The sequence below is a fragment of the Homo sapiens genome, chromosome 5, assembly GCF_000001405.40.
Source record: "Homo sapiens chromosome 5, GRCh38.p14 Primary Assembly".
Lineage (NCBI taxonomy): Eukaryota > Metazoa > Chordata > Mammalia > Primates > Hominidae > Homo > Homo sapiens.
The window spans coordinates 43,973,395-43,997,216 of record NC_000005.10 but is presented as its reverse complement, the minus strand read 5'-3'; the positions used below and the strand labels follow the sequence as shown (position 1 = coordinate 43,997,216).

Here is a 23,822-nt window from a genome sequence, read left to right as displayed (position 1 = left end):
GGGCCTGGTGGGAGGTGCTTGGGTCATGGTGGCGGATCTCTCATGAAAGTCGTGGTTATCTCCCTGCAGTAATAAGTTCATGAGAGATCTGGTTGTTTAAAAGAGGCTGGCACCTCCACCTCTCTCTCTTGCCCCCTGTCTCTCCATGTGACACACTGGCTCCCCTTTGCCTTCCACCATGAATTTAAGCTTCTTGAGGCCCTCATCAGAAGCAAATGCTGGCATCACACTTCTTGTACAGTCTGCAGAACTGTGAGACAAATAAATCTCTTTTCTTTACAAATTACTGAGACTCAGGTATTCCTTTATAGCAATGCAAACAAGTGAACATACCCTTCTATTTCCAGATTTTTCTAAGTTAGAAAAATGGGAATGTCCTCTCTTTTTTTATATAATTACATTGAGCAGCTTTCTGCAATGGAAAAATTACTTTCTCATTGGCTCTGTAATTATTGCCCATAGCAACCTTGAAAGGTGGACCATAGGGAATTAGAGCCCATATTTGGCAGGTAAGGAAATAGTAAGTGTCAAAGCTGGGACTCAAACCTAGGGCATCAGATACCAATCTCCACACTCTTTCCTCTACACCGTGCTATCTCTACACAAAGGTGGGGAGCTGAATTACAATAACAGCTTTGCATTATATCTTTATAGACTTTTTTTGATTTATAATGACTCAGAGAGGGGAGGTCCCCAGTGCGTGCCCAGAAAATGCACAAAAGAGCCACTTACTTAGACCATCCTTCACAGACTTGTCTTTTCCAGAAATCTACGATAATGGCCAAATAACAATATTAGCCACCAATTATACATACTGCACATGAGCAACTCAAAATTGCTTCATAGTCCTATAAGGTCAATATGATTTATGCATGATAAAATGGAATCTGACAAAAACTAAAGTAATTTGTTTAAGGTCATCTTGCTAGTGAGTAGCAGAGGTAGGATTTGAGGGTGAGTATATCTGAGTCCAGAGCCCATATTTTTGGCATCATACTACACTGGCATAAAGTCTGCACTTAAAACTAAGTGAGAAATTGTCAGAACCTCTTAAAGATCTTCAGAAACTTGTTCACTTAATTATCTCATGCTAGATCTTCTCATCTCTGCATTTAGATCTACCATTAGGTTTCTGAAAAGTTTTTTAAATAAATTGTCTTCAGTCTTGTGAAGGCTGAATTCAACTAATATCCAATTAATATCCAACTAATATACATCCAACTAATAGTCAACTAATATCCAATTAATATCCAACTAATATACATCCAACTAATAGTCAACTAATATAAGATGAGCTATTTCTCCATCTTATATCAAGCAGCTATTTAATTATCCTTTTTCTTGGTTTAAAAAGTCATTTGAGAAGTATTTATTAAGTGCCCACTATGGGCCAAGCACTGTGTCACACATTGCAAAGAACAAGATCAAAAGACATTAAACCACCTTCAAGGAGCTCATAGTCCCACTAAAATGCATAATTTCAGATGATAGCAGAAGACATTCAAATGCTCAAATCAAAAACACTTAAAAAGTGTAAAATTCTCAAAAAAGAGAAAGATGCAGTGTCAGAAACCTCTGAAGGCCTGGTTAAGAAATAATAACATTGTAATAATTGCTGTATCTTTAGTACCTACCACTGTGCTACCACTATATTTTTTGTTTTTTGTTTTTTGTTTTTTTTGCAAATTAAAAAACTTACTTCACCATCTGCATGAAGATCCAGTTAAATTAGTGAATTACTTATCACTCAGTGTTCTCTTTTCTCTCTCTTAAGTGAATCTAAATTCTTCCAGCTTATGTAGTATCACTCATATGAAGGCTTCACTTGTTTCCAATCACCAATCTCATTTCCTCCGTGTCTTAAAAAAAAAAATGGTGTATTGCATATTTTGACAGAAATCTTTTAATTGCAAATGGCAGAAGAAACTCAAATTAGCTTAGGCAAAAAGTAGAACTTATTGGCTCATATTTACAAACATTTTCTGTAAATTCATTATAACTTGCAGTCCAGACCCAAAGAGCAAACTCTCTTAATAGAAATAGTTACTATGTCACTATACATTTTTTGTTTGTGAAGAATAAAACACAGGTTTGATTTTAATTTCATCAAAACTTTTCAAATTGTCAAATATGGGGTTGAAAATATAGTGAAAAAGAAATGACTTTTTGTTTTTGTTTTTGTTCTCTGGAAGGAGAATCTATTTTTGCCAATCAAAATGCCCTAATATAGGTAGTAGCGTCTACATCCTCTAGCTGCTATGGTTCTCAGTCTTGGCCCATTACAGTCATCTGGGATCTTTTAAAAAGAATCGACATTACTCTTCTCCCACCTCACTACCTCAACATCACTCTTCTCTCACCTCAATTCAGTCAGAAGGGGACTTGAAGTCTAGACAACAGTATTTCTTAAACGCTCACCATGTAATTCTAATATGCATTGAGGATTGAAAATCCCTCTTCTGTCTAATTACCTATGTCATACCATTTGCTTAGTCAAAGACTTAGCAGTATTTTCCAGATACTCTCAGAAAATATGAATTGGAGGTTTTAGACTACGGCCTCCAGCCAGAGAAAGACAGAATTGGACGTATAGTATTCTGCCTTCAGACACCACAGCCAGTTTGATAGTTGTCCCACATGCTGTTCTGAAGCAGAAGGCCAAACACTTGAGGTTACTAAAGAACAGTTATTTTAAGGGTCTTGTTAGTGAGCCACATGAAATGACAGAGCTGTAAAGTTGGCCAAAAATGTCACTTGTAGTTAAAGATACTGCATACATGGTGGTTCATTTAAGAAAACGGAATTACATTAGAAGAGGAACAGCTGCTCAACTACTGTTTTATTCATAGGTTATTGTAAAAAAAAAATTATTTTGTGGAAGAAGGGAGTCATTTACGTTGACTGCATTAGAGGAAAAAACCTTAAAATGTGGCAGTTGGTTGCTTAAGGGTTTTATTTTCTACCAACTGAAAGGGATCGGATGGCTGCTGCCCAGGCTTGGCTGCACATACCTTGACTCCACAGCCATTGCTGACACAAGAAGGAAATCTATGTCTTTAGAATCAACAACTCACTCTCAGTGGCCCAACTGGCAAAAAATAAAAATAAACAAACACAAAATCTTTTTATTTTGCAATATTAGCAAAGAAAACACTGACCTTCCACCTCCTACCTAATCTACCCCCAATTGCTTCTTTGACATCATGCCTAGTAAAATGAAAAGGGGTTTTCAAAAGAAGGAAAGAAACATCTGCTTGGACTTCAGATTCCCCTACAAAGCAGAAACCAAGCCTATAAAGGTTACATGTTTCAACGAGCCACGCAAAACAAAGGAGAAAGTTCAACTGCTTATCCCATTTGACCTTGGCTTTAACGCAGGATCACGTTGATCCTGATGGAGAGATTAAACCGCCAAGTCCAGAACCGCTCATGAAGCAAATTCACAGGGGGAGTTCTAAGAGTTCTTTGGCACTCTTACTTCATATGGAATTAGCAGGGACAATCCCAGGCCACAAATGTAGCAATATTTTAACTCAGTGTGCAAAATTTCAAAGATAAAGCCTGAGATTGGAGGCCGTACTGAACTTTTCAAACACTGCTTTCATGGTAGTTTTTGTCAAGAAAATGCAGGCATGTATGAGAGCTGTTGAAAGATCTCTTCGTGGAGGAGGAAAAAAATGGAGGTCACTACGATCATGACAGGTCAAGGACAAGGGTGAAGGGATGACAAAATTGAAACATTTTCTTTTACATAGCCTTATTTTAAATTGCAAATTCATCCTACTTACCATGAAAATTACTTTCACAGTACAGCAAAATGGCACATAAATGGTCATGCCTTTTCTTAGTAAACAGTAAATCAGTTTTGAACAGCAAAACAGAACTATAACTTCAAACCTAAAATTTGGAAAATCTGAGAGAAATTTTAGCAATAAAAGAGAGGTTAGCAACAAAGGTCTGTGCTGGTCCGTGAGTTCATCTCTTAAATTCCTCAAACAGAAAGCACCTTGGACCAATAGTCTGGGAAACTGAATTCCAGCCCCACTGCAGACCCTATCTGACTGCAATCTAAGCCAAATTTCTTATGTTCTTTGGGCCTCAATTTCTTCATCAGTAAAATTAGGTTAGAGTAGAGGATTTCTAGAACCAACGTATTCATAGATACTATGGAAGTTGTGCAAAGCTGCTCATGAATTCCATGCCTCCATTCTCAATTTGATGTTTTTCTTGAGTAGCCCAACTCATAGTGTTTCTCCCTCTTTCCCATTCAGGCTATTCATTAGGTCTCTCACCAATCTCTTAACTTAGCCTAACTTTCTTCAATTGATCTAATGTCTTCTTCTTTCTCTAGGAGATTGTAAATTCCCCTAAGACACAAAATAATTTATGTCTAATTGTATTCCTTACTGAAATTAAAAGAGTATTGTGTACATGGTAGATGTTTGGCACATGATTTTTTTGATAAACGCATGAATGAATTAATGTTTGGTACTTAATAAGTATTGGTTTAATTGACCAGTCACTAATGTTTGGGGTGGATCAGAAAAATAATCTGAGAAAGATCGATTTCTAGAAAGCAACATCTAGTCATTAGAAGACCAAAAATTTGCCCAGACTGTATTTGTTAATGTAACAAAAAATATTTATATCTCCACTTTAAAATCCCTATATTAGACTGTTTTGATAGAATCACTAAAGTTATATATCTCCTCTAAAAATCTTAATGATATATGATGAAATAAATCAATTGGCATAAAATGTATTTATTGCCAGAATATCATTTTTCATCAAAAAGTAAAAGATTCTACATCTTCCTAGTCCTTATTCATGCACTTAATTGCTAATGTTCCTTGGGGCTTTGCTCTATATTTATTAATTAATATAGAAATGGTTAGCTCTGTTATATGTGCTACCTTTTAAAATGATTTAAACTATCATACTTATTTTCCTATGAAAACAATTCATCACAAGAAGTATAAATTTTGGGGGCATTTTACTTAAAAATATTGTTTTCTTAAAAATACTGTTTTCATTCATCCCTACTAAGTATATACTAAAAAAAAAATTCAAGGGCATTGGTTGTAAGAATTGGTGCATTTGTAAATTTACTAACATTACTGGCTTCTGCAGCCAGCTATTTTTAGTGTTTATCATACCAAAAACGTGCTTATGTCATAAGATTGGACTGGAGAAATAATTAGTTAACTACCATAGGCAAAAGGAGAAAATAAGAGGTTCTAACATTTTAAGAGTCTTGCAGTATCACCAGCAATACGAATTCTCTTCTAATAGCATATGGAAAGCTTCCCTACTCGCTAATTAGATTTTACCATCCCTCTGCTTGCTTTTTACCACAAGAACATTAATCTTATTCTATGAATAATCTCAATTAGTTTTTCCTATGCTAACAGCTAAGGAGACAAGGCACATATTATTCTCTCCTGAATTTTGATTATAAGCTTATATTTGAGATAGAAGCACATTGAGAAAAATCATAGCTAGGTGTACAGAATTAATCCCTAAAAGAAAAATGTCACAAGACAATGAAGAACCTACACATTAGGTAAGCAACAAATATGACAACCTTGCTCTATATGCTAGATATTCAGCCAGTGGCTGAATTTGAAGAAATAAACATTTCCCTCATGTGTCATCTTCAACTTCCCCTTAAAGTTTACTACTGCAAATTTTCACTGTGGCCAAAATGGTTTTGTTTTTTGTTGTTGTTGTTTTGTTTGTTTTGTTTTTGAGACAGAGTCATACTCCATCGCCCAGGCTGGAGTGCAGTGGTGCAATCTCGGCTCATTGCAACCCCTGCCTCCAGGGTTCAAGCAATTATCCTGCCTCAGCCTCCCACATAGCTGGAATTACAGGTGTGCGCCACTATGCCCAGCTAATATTTTTTTGTATTTTTAGTAGAGGAGACATTTCACCATGTTAGCCAGACTCTTCTTGAACTCCTGACCTTAAGTGATCTGCCGGTCTCGGCCTCCCAAAGTGCTGGGATTACAAGCATGAGCTACCACACCCGGCCCCACAAAATATATATTTAAAAACAGTTTTTGCTCATAATATCTACTCACAACAAAATAATTAAGAACCCCCAAACAAGTTGAGTTTATTATAAGTTGGCCAACATGTGTAGGTTTAATTGGGTTAAAACCACACACACACGAACACACTATTTTTTTAAATTCCTCTTGTCACTAGGACTTTGTTTTGGAAATATTGTCCTTCTTCCTATATTCCTACCTTAAAAGAACAATTTCAATTCCAAGTGTCCCAGATAAATAGGAATATTGATAAAGGCAGTCAAATAGAAATCAAAGCCAACAAGGATAATACATGGCAAACACTTGCCCTTCACTCTTAAACACTGGTTTTGGGAGTATAAAATGGCACAGCTTTTCTGTAGAGCAATTTAGAAAAATTAACAAAAGCCTTAAACATGTTTAAAACTTTTATGGTAGTTCCACTTCTAGGGATTTTTCCTAATAAGTGAACTGAGATACAGAGAAAGAATTACATACAATAGTATTTATTGTGGGGTTACTACTGGAAATAACCTTGACGTCCCAATATAAGAAATTTGTTAAACAAATATGCCACATCCAATAGGATAGAACATGAGTTAGTACTTCAAAATGATGCCATAAAATATGTAAATCTTAGTGCTTTGGGAGGCTAAGATGGGAGGATCACTTGAGGCCAGGAGTTTGAGGCTACAGTAAGCTATGATCATGCCACAGCACTCCAGCCTGGGCAACAGTGAGACCCTGTCTCAAAAAAAAAAAAAAAAAAAAATTGAACAGCATTAGAGAATGTTCTTTACAGTATGTTAAATGAAAAAACAGGCTATAATACAGTAAGGATGATTTAGTCACAAATTTTGATTTATGTAAATGCATAGGAAAAAGGTTCAGCATATATCCTATATATCGGTGTTGTCCAGTAGAAATATGGTGCAAGCAGCCGGGCATGGTGGCTCACACCTGTAGTCCCAGCACTTTGGGAGGCCGAGGCAGGCGGATCACGAGGTCAGGAGATCAAGACCATCCTGCCCAACATGGTGAAACCCTGTCTCTACTAAAATTACAAAAATTAGCTGGGTGTGGTGGTGTGCGCCTGTAGTCCCAGCTACTCGGGAGGCTGAGGCAGAAGAATTGCTTGAACCCAGGAGGCAGAGGTTGCAGTGAGACGAGATCACACTGCTGCACTCCAGCCTGGTGACAGAGTGAGACTGCGTCTCAAAAAAAAAAAGAAATATGGTGTAAGCTACATATGTAATTTTTAATTTTCTAATATCCACATTAAAAAAGTAAAAAACAGGTAACATTATTTTAATAATATAATTTAACTCAGTATGTTTAAAATATCATTTTCACATGTAATTAATATAAAAATTACTAATAAGATTTTTTTCAAACTAAGTCTTTAAAATTTGGTGTGTATTTTATAATTACAGCATATCTCATCTCAGATTAGCCACTTTCTAAGTGCTCAATAGCCACTCATGGCTAGTGGCTAACATATTGGGCCTAAAGAATGTGGGAATGTTGGTGATTTCTGTTTTCATATTTATGTTTTTTAACACATTCTACTTTTATAATCAGAGAAAAATTAATATTTTAAAATAACTAAACAGAGGCAGCAGGACAAAAGGAAAAATTATGGGTGTTGGGGTCAAAGACCTAGATTCAGAGAGTTCTAATTCTATTACCTTGTCTAATTTATGTAGTGGTGCTCTCCTTTGAATAACTGCAGTCCAACAGGATACATGTAAACACTTCATATGGAGGATGATAGGCTTGCCCACCATGAAACATAATGGTGACATGATGGGAAATATTACCCTTGGCCAAAGTGGCGGTAATTGAACCAATTTAGGACTGTCCAGCTTATCCCTATTATATATATGCTAAATAAATGTAAAAAATGACTAAGTAAAATCCAATCCCAGAAAGAGTTGTTTTCTTTGTCACTTTTAAACAGTTTTAAAGCTGCCAACTATATCATACAGTGCAAAACAAGCCATACAAATTCTTGGCTAATATATAGGCAAATTCAAGCTCCATAAGTATATTAATGTTATGCTTTTCTGATTTCTAGAAATATAGAGAGCCCACCTTCATACCACCAAATTTATTTTAGACTTTGCTTTCATACATTTTATGCTTATTTACTTTTGTTTTTTTGGTGGTTGATTGGTTGGTTGGCTGGTTGGTGTTTTGGAACTTTGTTGCAAAGAGCTGAGTTAATCATCCTCTTGGGTTCATAGGATATTATCCTATCAGCCATGCAAAGCTATTCTCCTGTTTGTTTTATTTTTCCCCTTGTGCTCCATCCCCATTTTTGTTCCATTCATGGAACTCAACTCTAATATATTTGAAATGTGTCCTTAAATATTCATATATGCTTTTATTTAGTATTGTTTGTATAGATACAATTCTCTTTCAAACTTTTTTAGCAGTTTTTTTAATATCCAATCCATGGTGATTCTAACTATTGTACAGTATTCTATTGTTTGCCTCCACCATATTTTACTTATCCATTTCTCCAGTGATGGGTACCTATGTTGATAACTTTCAGCTGCTATAAACCACATCAAAATAAACATTCTCATAAATATCCTTTTTGTACAGTTATATACCCATGAGTGGAATTGCTGATTCAAAGAGCCTAAATAGATAAATAAGACTGACAGGTGTCTATAAAATTACTGTACCTGTTTATACTCTCTATAGCACTGTACAGTAAATACTTAATGTTGTTGATAGGTTCTTGGAAACTACAACTTTAAGCAAAACATTGTTCAGCAGGTCCTTGAATAATGTCATTTCATTCAACATCATTTTGTTGTAACATTGATGAGAAAAAAATGTTTTTCATTACATCATTTTGCTTACAGTTGCTGTTTCCAAGATCTTCTCAACGATGTTAAGTGAGGACTCACTGTATAAGAATTCTCGCCTCTCTATATCTTTATTTTATATTATCCATCTTTTAGAATTTTACCTTTGGTATGCTTTTGGTGAGAAGATTTGTGCTTTTAGCTCCAGTGTGTAAAGAGCTTAAAAGCTGTCACCTTCATCCTTACAACAAGGGAAAAGCTGAGCAAACTGAAAATCAATAACTTGTCTTAGAAGTCCTAGAGAACTGAGGTTGCAGAAACTGCCACCCTGAGATCTGGAGAGGCAGAAAAATCCAGAGTCACAATCTATGGCTTAACTGGGACAGAAGCCACTAGAGCCATAAACTGGTAGAAATATTTAAATGGTCATTTTGACATACTGCTGGAGGCTGAATGTGGACTAGCGTGAGAGTGAGAAGCTCCTGAAGGCCACAGTTTCAGGAAATCTCCCACAGTCATAGGTTTTAATTTTAGACTCCCACCCGGTTCTCACAGTGAAAAATCAAGAAAAGTCTCATGGTTCTGGCAGCAGGAGGAGACAAGTAACCTTTGTGAAATATCCTCAGAATGTTCTTTATAACAAAGAAGGCCTACTCTCCAGGGGGAAAGAATTTAAAAGCCTTTAACAGAGACTCACCCTACCTGGGGAGAAAATTTCCCATACTACAGCCCCCTCCAACCTTGCTATTTCACCTAAGGTGGGACAAAAGCTATGAAATATTTGTGAGGGTCACAGCCCAGGGATAGAGATGTACTAAAAAAGTTATATTTAATCATAATATTGTAGAACCCTTTCTTTTCTTCACACTTGACAGCCACACAAACAGGGCTTCAGTATAATAACAGTGGATTATAGCTGAAAGAACTGCAAAATGCAGGCTCTATTGAAGTAGGAGTTTTAAAAGGCACTAATAATTTATTTGGTTGGTTGACTGAAACATGGACCAAAAGGTAGCCCACAGTGAGTGAAGCGAAAATGCCAGGCATGCCTTGGTTTAATGTAGAGGAAGGAATAAAAAGGCTTAGGGGAACTGGAATGTAAGAGTGTTTTTGTCATTTAAGATCTACTCACCCATACTGGGTCCAGAAGACATATCTTTCACCAACATTATAGAAATAAATTTGCCCTGGCATCCTTGATGAGTACTGTGATTGCTCTTCTCTGTAGGCCAGACCACACAGTGGGAACTGTAGTCACTAAACTGGGAAACCTAACTGCAATGGTAGTAATTGAATTCTATAACAGTAGAGGCCAAGGAGCAGTACTCAACCTCAAAGGCAAGATGGCCATGGTTACCATGATGAACAGGAGAACCAAAGCATAGTCTCCAATCGGAACAGTCTGACTGGAGCATACCTATGTTGTTGGTTAGTTGATTATGTTTTTCAAGAAGTTATAGATAGGAAGCCTACTTAATTCTTACCTGATCTGTGTAAACAGAAAAGATCTAAGTCAAATGAATAAAACTCTAAGCCAAATCATAAGAACAGAGTTATGGGCCCTCAATCAATTCCCAGACTTGAGTCAGTTTACAGATCCTGAATCCCTTAAATGAAGGGAGGCCAGTTCCCCTTGAGTGAGGACCCCAATACACTACAGAAAATGTATACAGACAGTCCCTGACTTAGGATGGTTCAACTTACAATTTTTTGACATTATGATATGAAGCAAAACAATACACATCATAAATTGAAATATCGTAAGTTAAAAATGTCCTTTTCATTCATGGTGCTTTCAACTTACAATGGGTTTGTTGGTACACAGCCCCATCATAAGCTAAGAAGCACCTGTACTATTAATTCTTCTTTCAGTTTTCCTCAAAGAGACCTATAACCTTTTACCAAGGTAACTGTACATTGGGGGAAAGAAAATAACAGATATTTGGGACCACTGGAAACTGACACTAATTCCAGGAGACCCATAATGTCTCTGTGGTCCATGAGTAAGAGTAAACACTTATAGAGATCAGATTATCAATGGATTTGATATGGCTTGGATGTCCTGCCCAAATCTCATGTTGGATTTTAATCCCCAGTATTAGAGGTGGGGCCTGGCGGGAGGTTGGGGGATTCTAATGAGTGGTTTAGTACCATTGCTATCAGTGGGCTGGAGGAGGTCCTCAAACACCCATGAGACTTCACTCAACCCCAGCTGGTGTCCAGGCTCTTGACACTGTTATGAGAATGAATTCAAGGATGAGTCAGAAAATAGTGAAAGTACAGAGATTTATTGCAAGAGAAAAGTGTACACTCAAGGGAGTGCAGATGTACTGAAGATAGAGTCGGGCAATGGGATTTGGGGTTTCTATCTTTATGGATCCAAGGGGTGAAATATTCATGGAAATTCCTGGAAAAAGGTAGAGATTTCTCAGAACTGTGGTGCCACTCATTTTTATAACAAATTTGAGTGTTCTCAGAGCTGTTATGGCATTGATGGGATGTGTGATTTAAGATGTTCATAAGCATATAATGAGGTCCTCGGAGAAACCTAGGTCAAATCCAGCACCATGTTGTGTCCAGTCAGTCTTAGCCAGCCTGGTTTTTCACACACACTGGTTTTTCAGGAACTGATCAGGCCTTAGCTTCTGCAGTGATTTCAACAGTTTCCTTTTGCTAGTCATGTGGACTAATGCCTGGAGTTTCACATGACTAGCAAAAGTAAACTAAATTTTCTATTCTGCCACCACCCTGTATCCCTGTATTATTCCTGTCTTACCATCCCTGTAATTCTGTCCTCGTGATAGTGAGTTCTCTTGTGATGTGGTCATTTAAAAGTGTGTAGCACCTCCCCCCTCGCTCTGTGGCTCCTGTTCCCATCATATGAGACGCCTGCTCCTGCTTTGCCTACTGCTGTGAGTAAAAGTTCCCTCAATCCTCCCCAGAAGCAGAGGCCACCATGCTTTCTGTACAGACTACAGAACCATAAGCCAATTAAACCTCTTTTCTTATAAATTACCCAGTCTCAGGTATTTCTTTATAGTAATGCAAGAATGGATACAGGAGTTTTAGCTTAGGTCTGTCTCACAGTGGGCCCAGTGGGTCCCTGAATCCATCTTCTGGTTATTTCTCAGGTTTCAGAATGCAAAATTAGAATAGATATACTTAGCAGCTGGCAGAATCCCCACATCATGTCCACCCACTGATGTGGAGTGTAAGCTATTATGGTGGGAAAGGCCAGTGGAAGCCATTAGAACTGTCTCTATCTGGGAAAAGAGTAAATCAAAAACAATACTACTATTATGTACACACACAAAAAAAATTAAAATTTAAAATAAAATAAAAAATGGAAAAGCAATACTGCATTCCTGAAGGGATTGCAGAGATTAGTGCCACCATCAAAGATCTGAAGGATGCAGGCATGATAATTTCCACCACATCTCCATTCAACTTACCTATTTGGCCGGTGCAGAAACCGGATGGATCTTTAAGAATGACAGTGGATTATGGTAAGCTTAACCAGGGGATAACTCCAATTGCAGCTGCTGTACCAGATGTGGACACATTGCTTGGGCAAATTAACACTTCTGCTTGGTATTTGTATGTAGATATTGGTCTGGCAAATAAGTTTTTGTCAGTGCCTATTGGTGAAGAACTTTTCTTTCACTTGGCAAGGCCAGAAATACACCTTTACTGACATACCTCAAGGGTATATTAACTCTCCAGTCCTATGTCATAATTTCATTTGCAGGGATTGAACACCTTTCCCTTCCACAAGATATCACAGTGGTCCATTACACTGATGACATTATGCTGATGGGACCTACTGAGTAAGAAGTAGCAGCTGCTCCAGACTTATTGGTAAATCCTTCGTGTGTCAGAGGTGGGAAAAAATATGACTAAAATTTAGGAAACTTCTACCTCAGTAAAATTTCTAGGGATCCAGTGGTGTGGCACATGTTGAGATATTTCTTCTAAAGTGAAGGATAAGTTCTTGCATCTGGTCCCTCCTAAATTGGTACCACAGACAATGGGGTGCTGCTATAAATATACCCAAAAATGTGGCAGTGATTTTAGAACTGGGTAACAGGAAGAGGTTGCAACCATTTGGAGGGCTCAGAAGAAAACAGGAAGATGTAGGAAAGTTCCAAACTTCCTAGAGACTTGTTTAATGGTTTTGACCAAAATGCTGACAGTGACATGGGCAATAAAGTCCAGGCTAAGGTGGTCTCAGATAGAGATGAGGAACTTGTTGGGAAGTGGAATAAAGGTGATTCTTGCTATGCCTTACCAAAGAGACTAGTGGCATTTTGCCCCTGCCCTAGAGACGTGTGCAACTTTGAACTTGAGAGAGATGATTTAGGGTATCTGGCAAAAAAAATGTTTAAGCAGCAAAGCATTCAAAAAGTAATAGAACATAAAGGTTTGGAAAATTTGCAGCTTGACAATGCAGAAACCCATGTTCTGGGAAGAAATTCAAGCCGGCTGCAGAAATTTGCAGAATGATAACAGACGAATACAGTACAAGGCACAAAGCATAATGGGCCTCTTTGGATTTTGGAGGCACCACATACCTTATTAGGTATGTTACTTCAGCCCATTTACCAAGTGACCCAAAAAGCTCCAAGTTTTGAGGGGGTCCCAGAATTAGAGAAGTCTCTTCAACAGATCCAGGCTGCTGTGCAAGGTGCTCTGCCACTTGGGCAGATTCAGCAAGTCCTATGGTACCTGAAGTCTCAGTGACAAATATGAATTCAGTTTGGAGCCTTTGGTAGATTACTATATTTGAATCCCAGGGCAGTTCTTCTAGAATTTGGAAAAATCCCAGTCATATCCAGATAACTACTCTCTTTTGAGAAAGAGTTCTTGGCCCTCATACTGGGCCCTAGTAAAGACTGAACCCTTAACCATAGATCACCAAGTTACCATGTAACCTGAGCTGCCCTTCATAAACTAGGTGTTATCTGATGACCAAGCCATAAATTTGGACATGCACAGCAACAGTCCATCATCAAATGGAAATAGAATTGGTATATACATGATTAGGCCTAGTCAGGCATTAGTAAGTGACATGAAGAAGTGTCCCAAATACCCACAGTCCCTACTTCTTTTTTTCTCCCAGCCTGCACCTATGTCCTCATACAGTGTTTCCTAATATTAGTTGACAGAAGAAGAAAAGACTCAGGCCAGGTTTATAGATGGTTCTGTATGATACACAGGTACCACTGGAAAATGGAGCTGCAGCACTATGGCCCCTCTCTGAAATATCCCTGATGGACAGTGGGTAAAAGAAAATCTTGGCCAGACGTGGTGGCTCACACCTGTAATCCCAGAACTTTGGGAGGCTGAGGTGGGGTATCACCTGAAATTGGGAGTTTGAGACCAGCCTGACCAACATTGAGAAACCCCATCTCTACTAAAAAAAATACAAAATTAGCCAGGCATGGTGGTCCATGCCTGTAGTCCCAGCTACTCAGGAGGCTGAGGCAGGAGAATCGCTTGAACCCGGAAGGCAGAGGTTGCAGTGAGCCGAGATCGCACCATTGCACTCCAGCCTGGGCAACAAGAGGGAAACTCCATCTCAAAAAAAAAAAAAAAAAAAGCAGAGAAAGAAAATCTTCCCAGTCAGAACTTTGAGCAATGTATCTGGTTGTTTACTTTACTTGGAAGGAGAATTGGTCAGACGTGATTATATACCAATTCAATGGTTTGGCTGGATGATGAGGGACTTGGAAGGAAAATGACTTGAGGATTATGACAAATAAATTTTAGAAAGAAGTATGTGGATGGATCTCTCTGAATGGACAAAAAACATGGAAATATTTGTGTTTCATGTGAATGCTCACCAAATGATTACATCAGCAGTGGATGATTGTAATGATCAAATGGGTAGAATGACCCATTCTGTACATACCAGTCAGCCTCTTTCTCCAGCTATCCATGTTATTTCCCAGTGGGTTCATGAACAAAGTCACCATAGTGAAAGCAACACGAGCTTCTACTCACCAAGGCTGATCCTGGTAGATGAGATTCATTGAAGGTATATAAGCCATATAGAATTTCTAAGATGTACACTGTGTAATAAGATAGCTACTAGTCACAAATTACTGTTGAGTACTTGAAATGTGGCTAGTTCAACTGAGAAAGTAAATTTTTAATTTCATTTAGTTTTCATTAATTTAAATTAAATTTAAAAATTGATAGGGCCAACCAAAAGCAGCAGTGATCTGAGGCTCCCACCAAAAAGAACCAAAACAGCATGTGAATCCTGCACTGGCAACCGAGGTATCCAGGTTCTGTCATTAGGACTGACTAGGCAGCTGGTGTGACCCACAGAGAGGAAGGAAGAGCAGGGTGGTGCGGCAGCCCACCTGAGAGCCACACAGGGTAGGAGAGTCCCCCACTCCCAGCCAAGGGAGGCAATGAGTGAGCGTGCTACCCAGCCTGGGAAACTGTGCTTTTTCCATGGTACTGGGCAACCCACGGATTGGAAGATCTCACTCGTGAGTCCATGCCACCGGGGCCTTGGGTCCCAATCACAGAGCTGCATAGATTCTCGACAGCCACTCAGCTGGAATCTGCCTAAGCCTGCGGAGTTCCCTGGGGCAGGGTAAGGTGGGGGAGGGGGCGGCCATTACCACTGCTGCGGCTGCCTGCTGTCTAAGCTGTCTGAGTTCCCTGAGGAAGGGGCAGCAGCCAACATTGCAGCTGCTAGCTAAGCTCCTGGGAGGGAAGGGCAGCAGCCATCACTATAGCTCCAGGATTCACTTTTCCCTTACTGGAGCCAGGGAGGCTGGATGGCTTGGTTCCAAGAGGTATTCCCCACAGCGCAGCACACTGCCATGGCCAGATTGCCTCTTCAGGCTGGACCCAGACCCATTCCTCCTCACTGGGTGGGGCCTCTCTGCAGGAACCCCAATAACTTCCAGCCAGGGTCTCAGGGACAGAACTCTGATCACCATGGGCCTGAGCCCCTAGTGGGAGGAGTGACTATAGTCTCTGCAGACCAGCAGATTTAATCTTTCCTCCTGCTAGTTCTGAGGAATCCGGCCAGCCCAGACGTGTGGGTATCCACCTAGCACAGCACACCCTCTCCAACAAGGGACAGCCAAAGTGCTTCATTAAATGGGTCCTGGTTCCGTGCCCCCCAACTGGGTGAGACCCTCCAACAGGGGTGGCCAGACACGCTATACATGAATGTTCTTACTCGCATCAGGTCAGTGCCCCTTGAGATCAGAAATCCCCAAGGAAGGAGCAGGCACCCATCCTTGCTGTTCTCCAGCCTCCCCAGGTGACATCTCCAGGCATGGGAGCAAAGCAGATGAATAGGGCCTGAAGTGAAACCCCAGCAAACTGCAGCAGCCCTACAGAAGAGGGACCTGACTATTGAAAGAAAAACAGAAAGCAACAACAACAGCTTCAACAAAAAATGTCCCCACAAAACCTGATCCAAGGGGCCAGCAGCCTCAAAGATCAAGACTAGACAAACTAGATGAATTGACAGAAGTAGGCTTCAGAAGGTAGACAATAACAAACTTCACTGAGATAAAGGAGCATGTTCTAACCCAATGCAAAGAAGCTAAGAACCATGATAAAACATTACAAGAGCTGCTAACTAGAATAACCAGCTTAGAGAGGAACATAAATGACCTGATGGAGCTGAAAAACACAGCACAAGAACTTCGTGAAGCATACACAGATATCAATAGCTGAATTGATCAAGCAGAAGAAAGAATATCAGAGATTGAAGACTATCTGCTGAAATAAGGCAGGCAGACAAGATTAAAGAAAAAGAATGAAAAGGAAAAAACAAAACCTCCGAGAACTATGGGACTATGTAAAAAGACTGAACCTACAGCAGATTGGAGGACCTGAAAGAGACAGGGAGAATGGAAACAAGTTTGAAAACACACTCTAGGATATCATCCAGGAGAACCTCCCCAAGCTAGCAAGACAGGCTAACATTCAAATTCAGGAAATACAGAGAACCCCCACTAAGATACTCCACAAGAAGATCAATCCCAAGACAAATAATCATCAGATTCTCCAAGGTCAAAATGAAAGAAAAAAATGTAAGAACAACCAGAGAGAAAGACCACCTACAAAGGGAAGCCCATAAGACTAAAAGTGGATCTCTCAGCAGAAACCATACAAGCCAGAAGAGAGTAGGAGCCAATATTCAACATTCTTAAAAAAATTTTCAATCTGAATTTCATATCTGGCCAAACTAAACTTCATAAGTGAAGAAGAAATAAAAGTATTTTCTGATAAGCAAATGCTGAGGGAATTCATCATGACCAGGCCTGCCTTGCAAGAGCTCCTGAAGGAAACACTAAACATGGAAAGGAACAACTGGTACCAGCCACTGCAAAAATACACCAAAATACAAAAACCAATGACAGTATGAAAAAACTGCATCAACTCATGTGCAAAATAAAAAGCTAGCATCATGATGACAGGATCAAATTCACAAGTAACAATATTAACTTTAAATTTAAATGTGCCAAATGCCCCAGTTAAAACACACAGACTGGCAAATGAGGTAGAGTCAAGACCCATGAATGTGCTGTATTCAAGTGACCCATCTCACATGCAAAGACACACATAGGCTTAAAATAAAGGGATGAAGGAATATTTACCAATCAAATGGAAAGTACAAAAAAACAGGAGTTACAGTTCTAGTTTCTGACAAAACAGACTTTAAACCAAAAAAGATCAAAAAAGATTTTTTTAAAAATGGTATTATATAATGGTAAAGGGATCAATTCAACAAAAAGAGTTAACTGTCCTAAATATATATATACCCAATATAGGAGCACCGAGATTCATAAAACAGGTTGTTAGAGACCTACAAAGAGACTTAGACTCCCGTGCAATATTACTGGGAGACTTTAACACCCCAGTGTCAATATTAGACAGATCAACAAGACAGAAAATTAACAAGGACGTTCAGGACTTGAACTCAGCTCTGAATCAAGTGGATCTAATAGAGATCTACAGAACTCTTCACCCCAAAACAACAGAATATGCATTCTTCAGAATATACATGGCACTTACTCTAAAGTCGATCACTTAATTGGAGGTAAAACACTCCTCAGCAAATGCAAAAGAACTGATATTATTTTAAAAAAAAAAAGAAGTCTCTCAGACCACAGTGCAATCAAATTAGAACTCAAGATTAAGAAACTCACTCAAAACCACACAACTACGTGGAAATTGAACAACCTGATCCTGAATGACTCCTGGATAAATAATGAAATTAAGGCAGAAATCCAGAAGTTGTTTGAAACCAATGAGAACAAAGAGACAATATACCAGAATCTCTGGGATGCAGCTAAAGCGTTGTTAAGAGGGAAATTTGTAGCACTAAATGCACATATCAGAAAGCTAGAAAGATATCAAATCAACACCCTAACATCACAACTAAAAGAACCAGAGAAGCAAGAGCAAACAAATTCAAAAGCTAGCAGATGACAAGAAACAACTAAGATCAGAGTGGAACTGAAGGTGATAGAAACACTAAAAACCCTTCAAAAAATCAATGCATCCAGGAGCTGGTTTTTTGGAAAAAAAAAAAAATATATATATATATATATATAAATAGACCACTTGCAGGACTTATAAAGAAGAGAGAAGAATCAAATAAACACAATAAAAAATGATAAAGGGGATATCACCACTGATACCACAGAAATACAATCTATCATCAGAGAATACTATAAACACTTCTATGCAAATAAATTAGAAAATCTAGAAGAAATGGATAAATTCCTGGAAACAAACACCCTCCCAAGTCTAAAGCAGGAAAAAATTGAATCCTTGAATAGACGAATAAAAAATTCTGAAATTGAGGCAGTAATAAATAGGCTACCAACAAAAAAGGCCCAGGACCAGATGGATTCACAGCCAAATTCTACCAGAGGTGCAAAGAGGAGTTGGTACCATTCCTTCTGCAACTATGCCAAACAATTGAAAAGGAGGGACTCCTCCCTAACTCATTTTATGAGGCCAGCATCATCCTGATACAAAAACCGGGCAGGGACACAACAGAAAAAGAAAACTTCGGGCCAATATCCCTGATGAACATCAGTGCAAAAATCCTCAATAAAATACTTGCAAAGCAAACCCAGTGGCACATCAAAAAGCTTATCTGCCACAATCAAGTCAGCTTCATCCCTGGGATGCAAGGCTGGTTCAATATACACAAATAAATAAATTTAATCCATCACGTAAATAAAACCAATGATGAAAACCACATGATTATCTCAATAGATGCAGAAAAGACCTGCAATAAATTCAATATCCCATCATGTTAAAAACTCTCAATAAACTAGGTATTAATGGAACATATCTCAAAATAATAAAAGTTATTTATGACAAACCCACAGACAATATCACACTGAATGGTTCAACAGCTGGAAGCATTCCCTTTGAAAACTGGCACAGGAAAACGATGCCCTCTCTCTCACCACTCCTATTGAACAGAGTATTGGAAGTTCTGGCCAGGGCAATCAGGCAAGAGAAAGAAATAAAGCATATTCAAATAGGAAGAGAAGAAGTCATATTGTCTCTGTTTGCAGATGACATGATCCTATGTTTAGAAAACTCCATCTTCTCAACCCAAAAGCTCCTTAAGCTGATAAGCAACTTCAGCAAAGTCTTAGGATACAAAATCAATGTGCAAAGATCACAAGCATTCCTATACACCAACAACAGACAAGCAGAGAGCCAAATCATAAATGAGATTCCATTCACAATTGCTGCAAAGAGAATAATATACCTAGGAATACAGCTAACAAGGGACATGAAAGACCTCTTCAAGGAGAACTACAAACCACTGCTCAAGGAAATAAGAGAGGACACAAACAAATGGAAAAACATTCCATGTTCATGGCTGAGAAGAATCAATATTGTGAAAATGGCCACCCTGCCCAAAGTAATATGTAGATTCAATGCTATTCCCATCAAACTACTATCGACATTCTTCACATAATTAGAAAAAACTACTGTAAAATTCATATTGAACCAAAAAGAGCCCATATAGCCAAGACAATCCTAAGCAAAAAGAACAAAGCTGGAGGCATCACACTACCTGACTTCAAACTATGCTACAAAGCTAAAATAACCAAAGCAGCATGGTACTGGTATCAAAACAGACATAAGGACCAATGGAAAGAATAGAGACCTCAGAAATAAGACTATACATCTGAAACCATATGATATTCAACAAATCTGACAAAAACAAGCGATGGGGAAAGGATTCCCTATTTAATACATGGTGCTGGGAAAACTGACTAGCCATATGCAGAAAACTGAAACTGGACTCCTTTCTTACAATTTATACAAAAATTAACTCAAGATGGATTAAAGACTTAAACACAAAACCCAAAACCATAAAAACGCTAGAAGAAAATCTAGGCAATACTATTCAGGACATAGGAATGTGCAAAGATTTTATGATGAAATCACCAAAAGCATTTGCAACAAAAGCCAAAATTGACAAATGAGACCTAATTAAACTAAAGAGCTTCTGCACAACAAAAGAAACTATCATCAGAGTGAACAGGCAACATACAGAATGGGAGAAAAATTTTGCAATCTATCTATCTGACAAAGGTCTAGTATTTAGAATTTACAGGAAACTTAAACAAATTTACAAATAAAAAACAACCTCATCAAAAAGTAGTCAAAAGACATGAACAGATACTTCACAAAAGAAGATATTTATCAGCCAAAACACATGAAAAAAAGCTCATTATCACAATCATTAGAGAAATGCAAATCAAAACCGCAACAAGATACCATCTCATGCCAGTTGGAATGGCAATTATTTAAAAGTCAAGAAACAACAGATGCTGGTGAGGCTGTGGAGAAATAGGAATGCTTTTACATTGTTGGTGGGAATGTAAATTAGTTCAACCATTGTGGATGACAGTGTGGTGATTCTTCAAGGATGTAGAACAAGAAATACCATTTGACCCAGCAATCTTATTACTGGGCGTATACCCATAGGAATATAAGTTATTCTATTATAAAGATACATGCACACACATGTTTACTGCATTGCTATTCACAATAGCAAAGACATAGAACCAACCCAAATGCCCATCAATCATAGACTGGATAAAGAAAATGTGGTACGTATACACCATGAAATACTATGCAAGCATAAAAAGAAATGAGATCATATCCTTTGCAGGGACGTGGATGAAGCTGGAGGCCATCATCCTCAGCAAACTAATACAGGAAGAGAAAGCTAAACACCACATGTTCTCACTCACAAGTGTGAGCTGAACAATGAGAACACATGGACAAAGGGAAGGGAACAACACATACCAGGGCCTGTTGGGGGACACAAGGGGAGGGAGAGCATCAGGATGAGTAGTTAATGCATGTGGTGCTTAATACCTGGGTAACAGGTTGATAGGTGCAGCAAACCACCATGGCACTTGTTTACCTAAGTAACAAACCTGTATATTCTCAACATGTACACTGGAACTTAAAGTAAAATAAAAAATAAAATAAAATAAAATAAAACTGAGAGTCAATTCAATTATTTGAAAACTTTCAAAAGTATGTTTGAAACAACTTGGGCACATGAATCTATGTTTTCAACTATTAATTTTATAAAATCAAAATGTATATTAAGATTTTCTTTTTTTTTTTTTTTTTTTTTTGAGACGGAGTTTCACTCCTGTTTCCCAGGCTGGAGTGCAATGGTGCTGATCTTGGCTCACTGCAACCTCTGCCTCCTGGGTTCAAGCAACTCTCCTGCCTCGCCTCCCGAGTAGCTGGGATTACAGGTGCCCACCACCACACCTGGCTAATTTTTGTATTTTTAGCAGAGATGGGGTTTCACCATGTTAGCCAGGCTGGTCTCAAACTCCTGACCTCCAGCGATCTGCCTGTCTCAGCCACCCAAAGTGCTGGGATTGCAGGCATGAGCCACTGCGCCTGGCCTGTATTAAGTTTTTCTAATGAAATTTAGGCATCCAAGTTGTGATATGCTATGAATATAAAATATACACTAGGATTTGAAGACTTTGTACCAAAAAAGATTGTAAGATATCTCATTAGCAATTTTTAATGTTGATTATATCTTAAAATGATAATGAGTTTAAAGACATTATTCAAATTAATTTTATTTTTTTTTTATCTTTTTATGTGATTACTAGAAATGTTTTAATTATATATGTGGCTTGCATTATTATTGCGTAGCATGGATCTACAGCACAGTAACATCATTTCAGCCTAGATATTCCTCTTGGTATTTAGCATAGCATTGTGCACATAATTGACTCTCGCTAAATGCATGTTGTTCAAATAAAAAGGATCATGTATTAGGGCAAGTATTTATTACTATACTTTTTTAAAACAATTAATTTAAAAATGAATTCAGCCAGATGTGGTGGCACATGCTTATAATCCCACCTACTTGGGAGACTGAGGCGCAAGGATCATTTGAGTCCAGGGAGCTCTAGACTAGCCTATGCAAGATAATGAGACTCTATCTCTTAGAAAAACAAGCAAAAACAAAAAAAAAACCCACACACATAAAAATGAGTTCATTTTCTGCATAAAGATGGTTTGGTAAAGAGGTTAGGCAATGAGAAAAATGGGGAATTTTTCTCCTCTTTTTCAGAGACCGCACAATTAGTCAAGAGAGAAAGAAGCAAATGATTGCATTTTTATCAAGTCCCCACAACTTTCCCAAACATTTACTCGACTAATTGTCCTTTCTAGTTGGGGTTTTTCCCATCTATATTATTATGGCCACAACCAAAAATTATCAAAGTTTCAAAGAACTCTCCAGTAGCTCCAAGGAACTATAAGAAAGATGATAACTGGCATTAAAATTATAGATACTGACATCACACAAAATTAGATGAATTCAGTTTTGCCATACATAGATCATGAGAAAGTTATTTAATCTCTATAATCTTAATTTCTTCATCCATATATTGGGATTAATAATAGTAACTACCTGTTAGGATTGACTGATGAAGAAAAAAAACGAGTTGAACACTTAGCTTATTGCTTGAAACATACTAGGGATTTAGCACACGGAGGTTGGATGATACTAATGGTTAATTATCATCATTGTTACAATTCCAGGAAACTAAAATTTTCTTAAGTAATCTTCATTTTGATAGTTTCCACCTTTTCCAGGAATAAAAGTTTCTTTCAGGTTTAGTTTCTTACTTATCCTAGGTGAAATTACTAGAGCTGCTGGCACTACAGAACCATAAAAATAGAACTGAAAGAGGATTTCACAATCTAATGAGTTTCAGCAATACACACTAATATTTCACCTTTTTCTAAGAAATTAAAAGATTTAGATACCATATACTGACAAAAATTGTAGCCAAATAGAGTGGTACTATATACATCGGTTTCAATTATGATCAGAAGATCCAAAGTGGAACACTTGCTGTAACTAAAGATGTCACATGTGATTATTTTATATTTTAAAGCAAGTAAGTAGCTTATAAACCAGGGCTGATTTATAGATTAGTCACAGCAGGCATAATGCTTAGGGCCCACCATGCTTTTAAGGGACCAGAAAAATGTTTTAATTTTTTTAAAAATCAGAAGAAAAATAAGTGAACTTATAGGCTGAAGAAAATGTTTTCATATATCATATTAACATATTTGTCCTTAGACCAACACAGTCATAAAATATAATTTCAATATGTTATGGAAGAAGGGACCCACAAAGGCAAAGGTGCCTTGTCGCATAATACAGCCCTACATAAGCCAGATAACCAGAAGGAACAAACAAGATAAAGCAATTCTTGTGATGCAACACCATTCTGAATGTTAGGAAACACAAGTGAGCTGGTTGCAAAGGAACCTCATTGCCAGGGTGAGCAATGTGAAAGAACAATATGTTTACATAAGGACAAATAACTGCATCACTGTTCACAGAAGGCCTGCGGGTTGAATATTCCAAAGGTGATTTCAATAGTTCTAT

At 38.1% G+C, this 23,822-nt stretch overlaps 3 annotated features.

Annotated features, from left to right (window-relative positions):
- Window positions 10,374-10,543: an enhancer, noted in NCBI's record as "experimental_85647 CRE fragment used in MPRA reporter constructs". NCBI's record gives its function as "activates a minimal promoter by MPRAs in K562 erythroleukemia cells, with activity observed for the introgressed 5:43986861 variant allele {active_cell/tissue: K562}" and the evidence as "EXISTENCE:reporter gene assay evidence [ECO:0000049][PMID:34662402]".
- Window positions 19,056-19,225: an enhancer, noted in NCBI's record as "experimental_85633 CRE fragment used in MPRA reporter constructs". NCBI's record gives its function as "activates a minimal promoter by MPRAs in K562 erythroleukemia cells, with activity observed for both the introgressed and non-introgressed 5:43978179 variant alleles {active_cell/tissue: K562}" and the evidence as "EXISTENCE:reporter gene assay evidence [ECO:0000049][PMID:34662402]".
- Window positions 22,214-22,383: an enhancer, noted in NCBI's record as "experimental_85621 CRE fragment used in MPRA reporter constructs". NCBI's record gives its function as "activates a minimal promoter by MPRAs in K562 erythroleukemia cells, with activity observed for the non-introgressed 5:43975021 variant allele {active_cell/tissue: K562}" and the evidence as "EXISTENCE:reporter gene assay evidence [ECO:0000049][PMID:34662402]".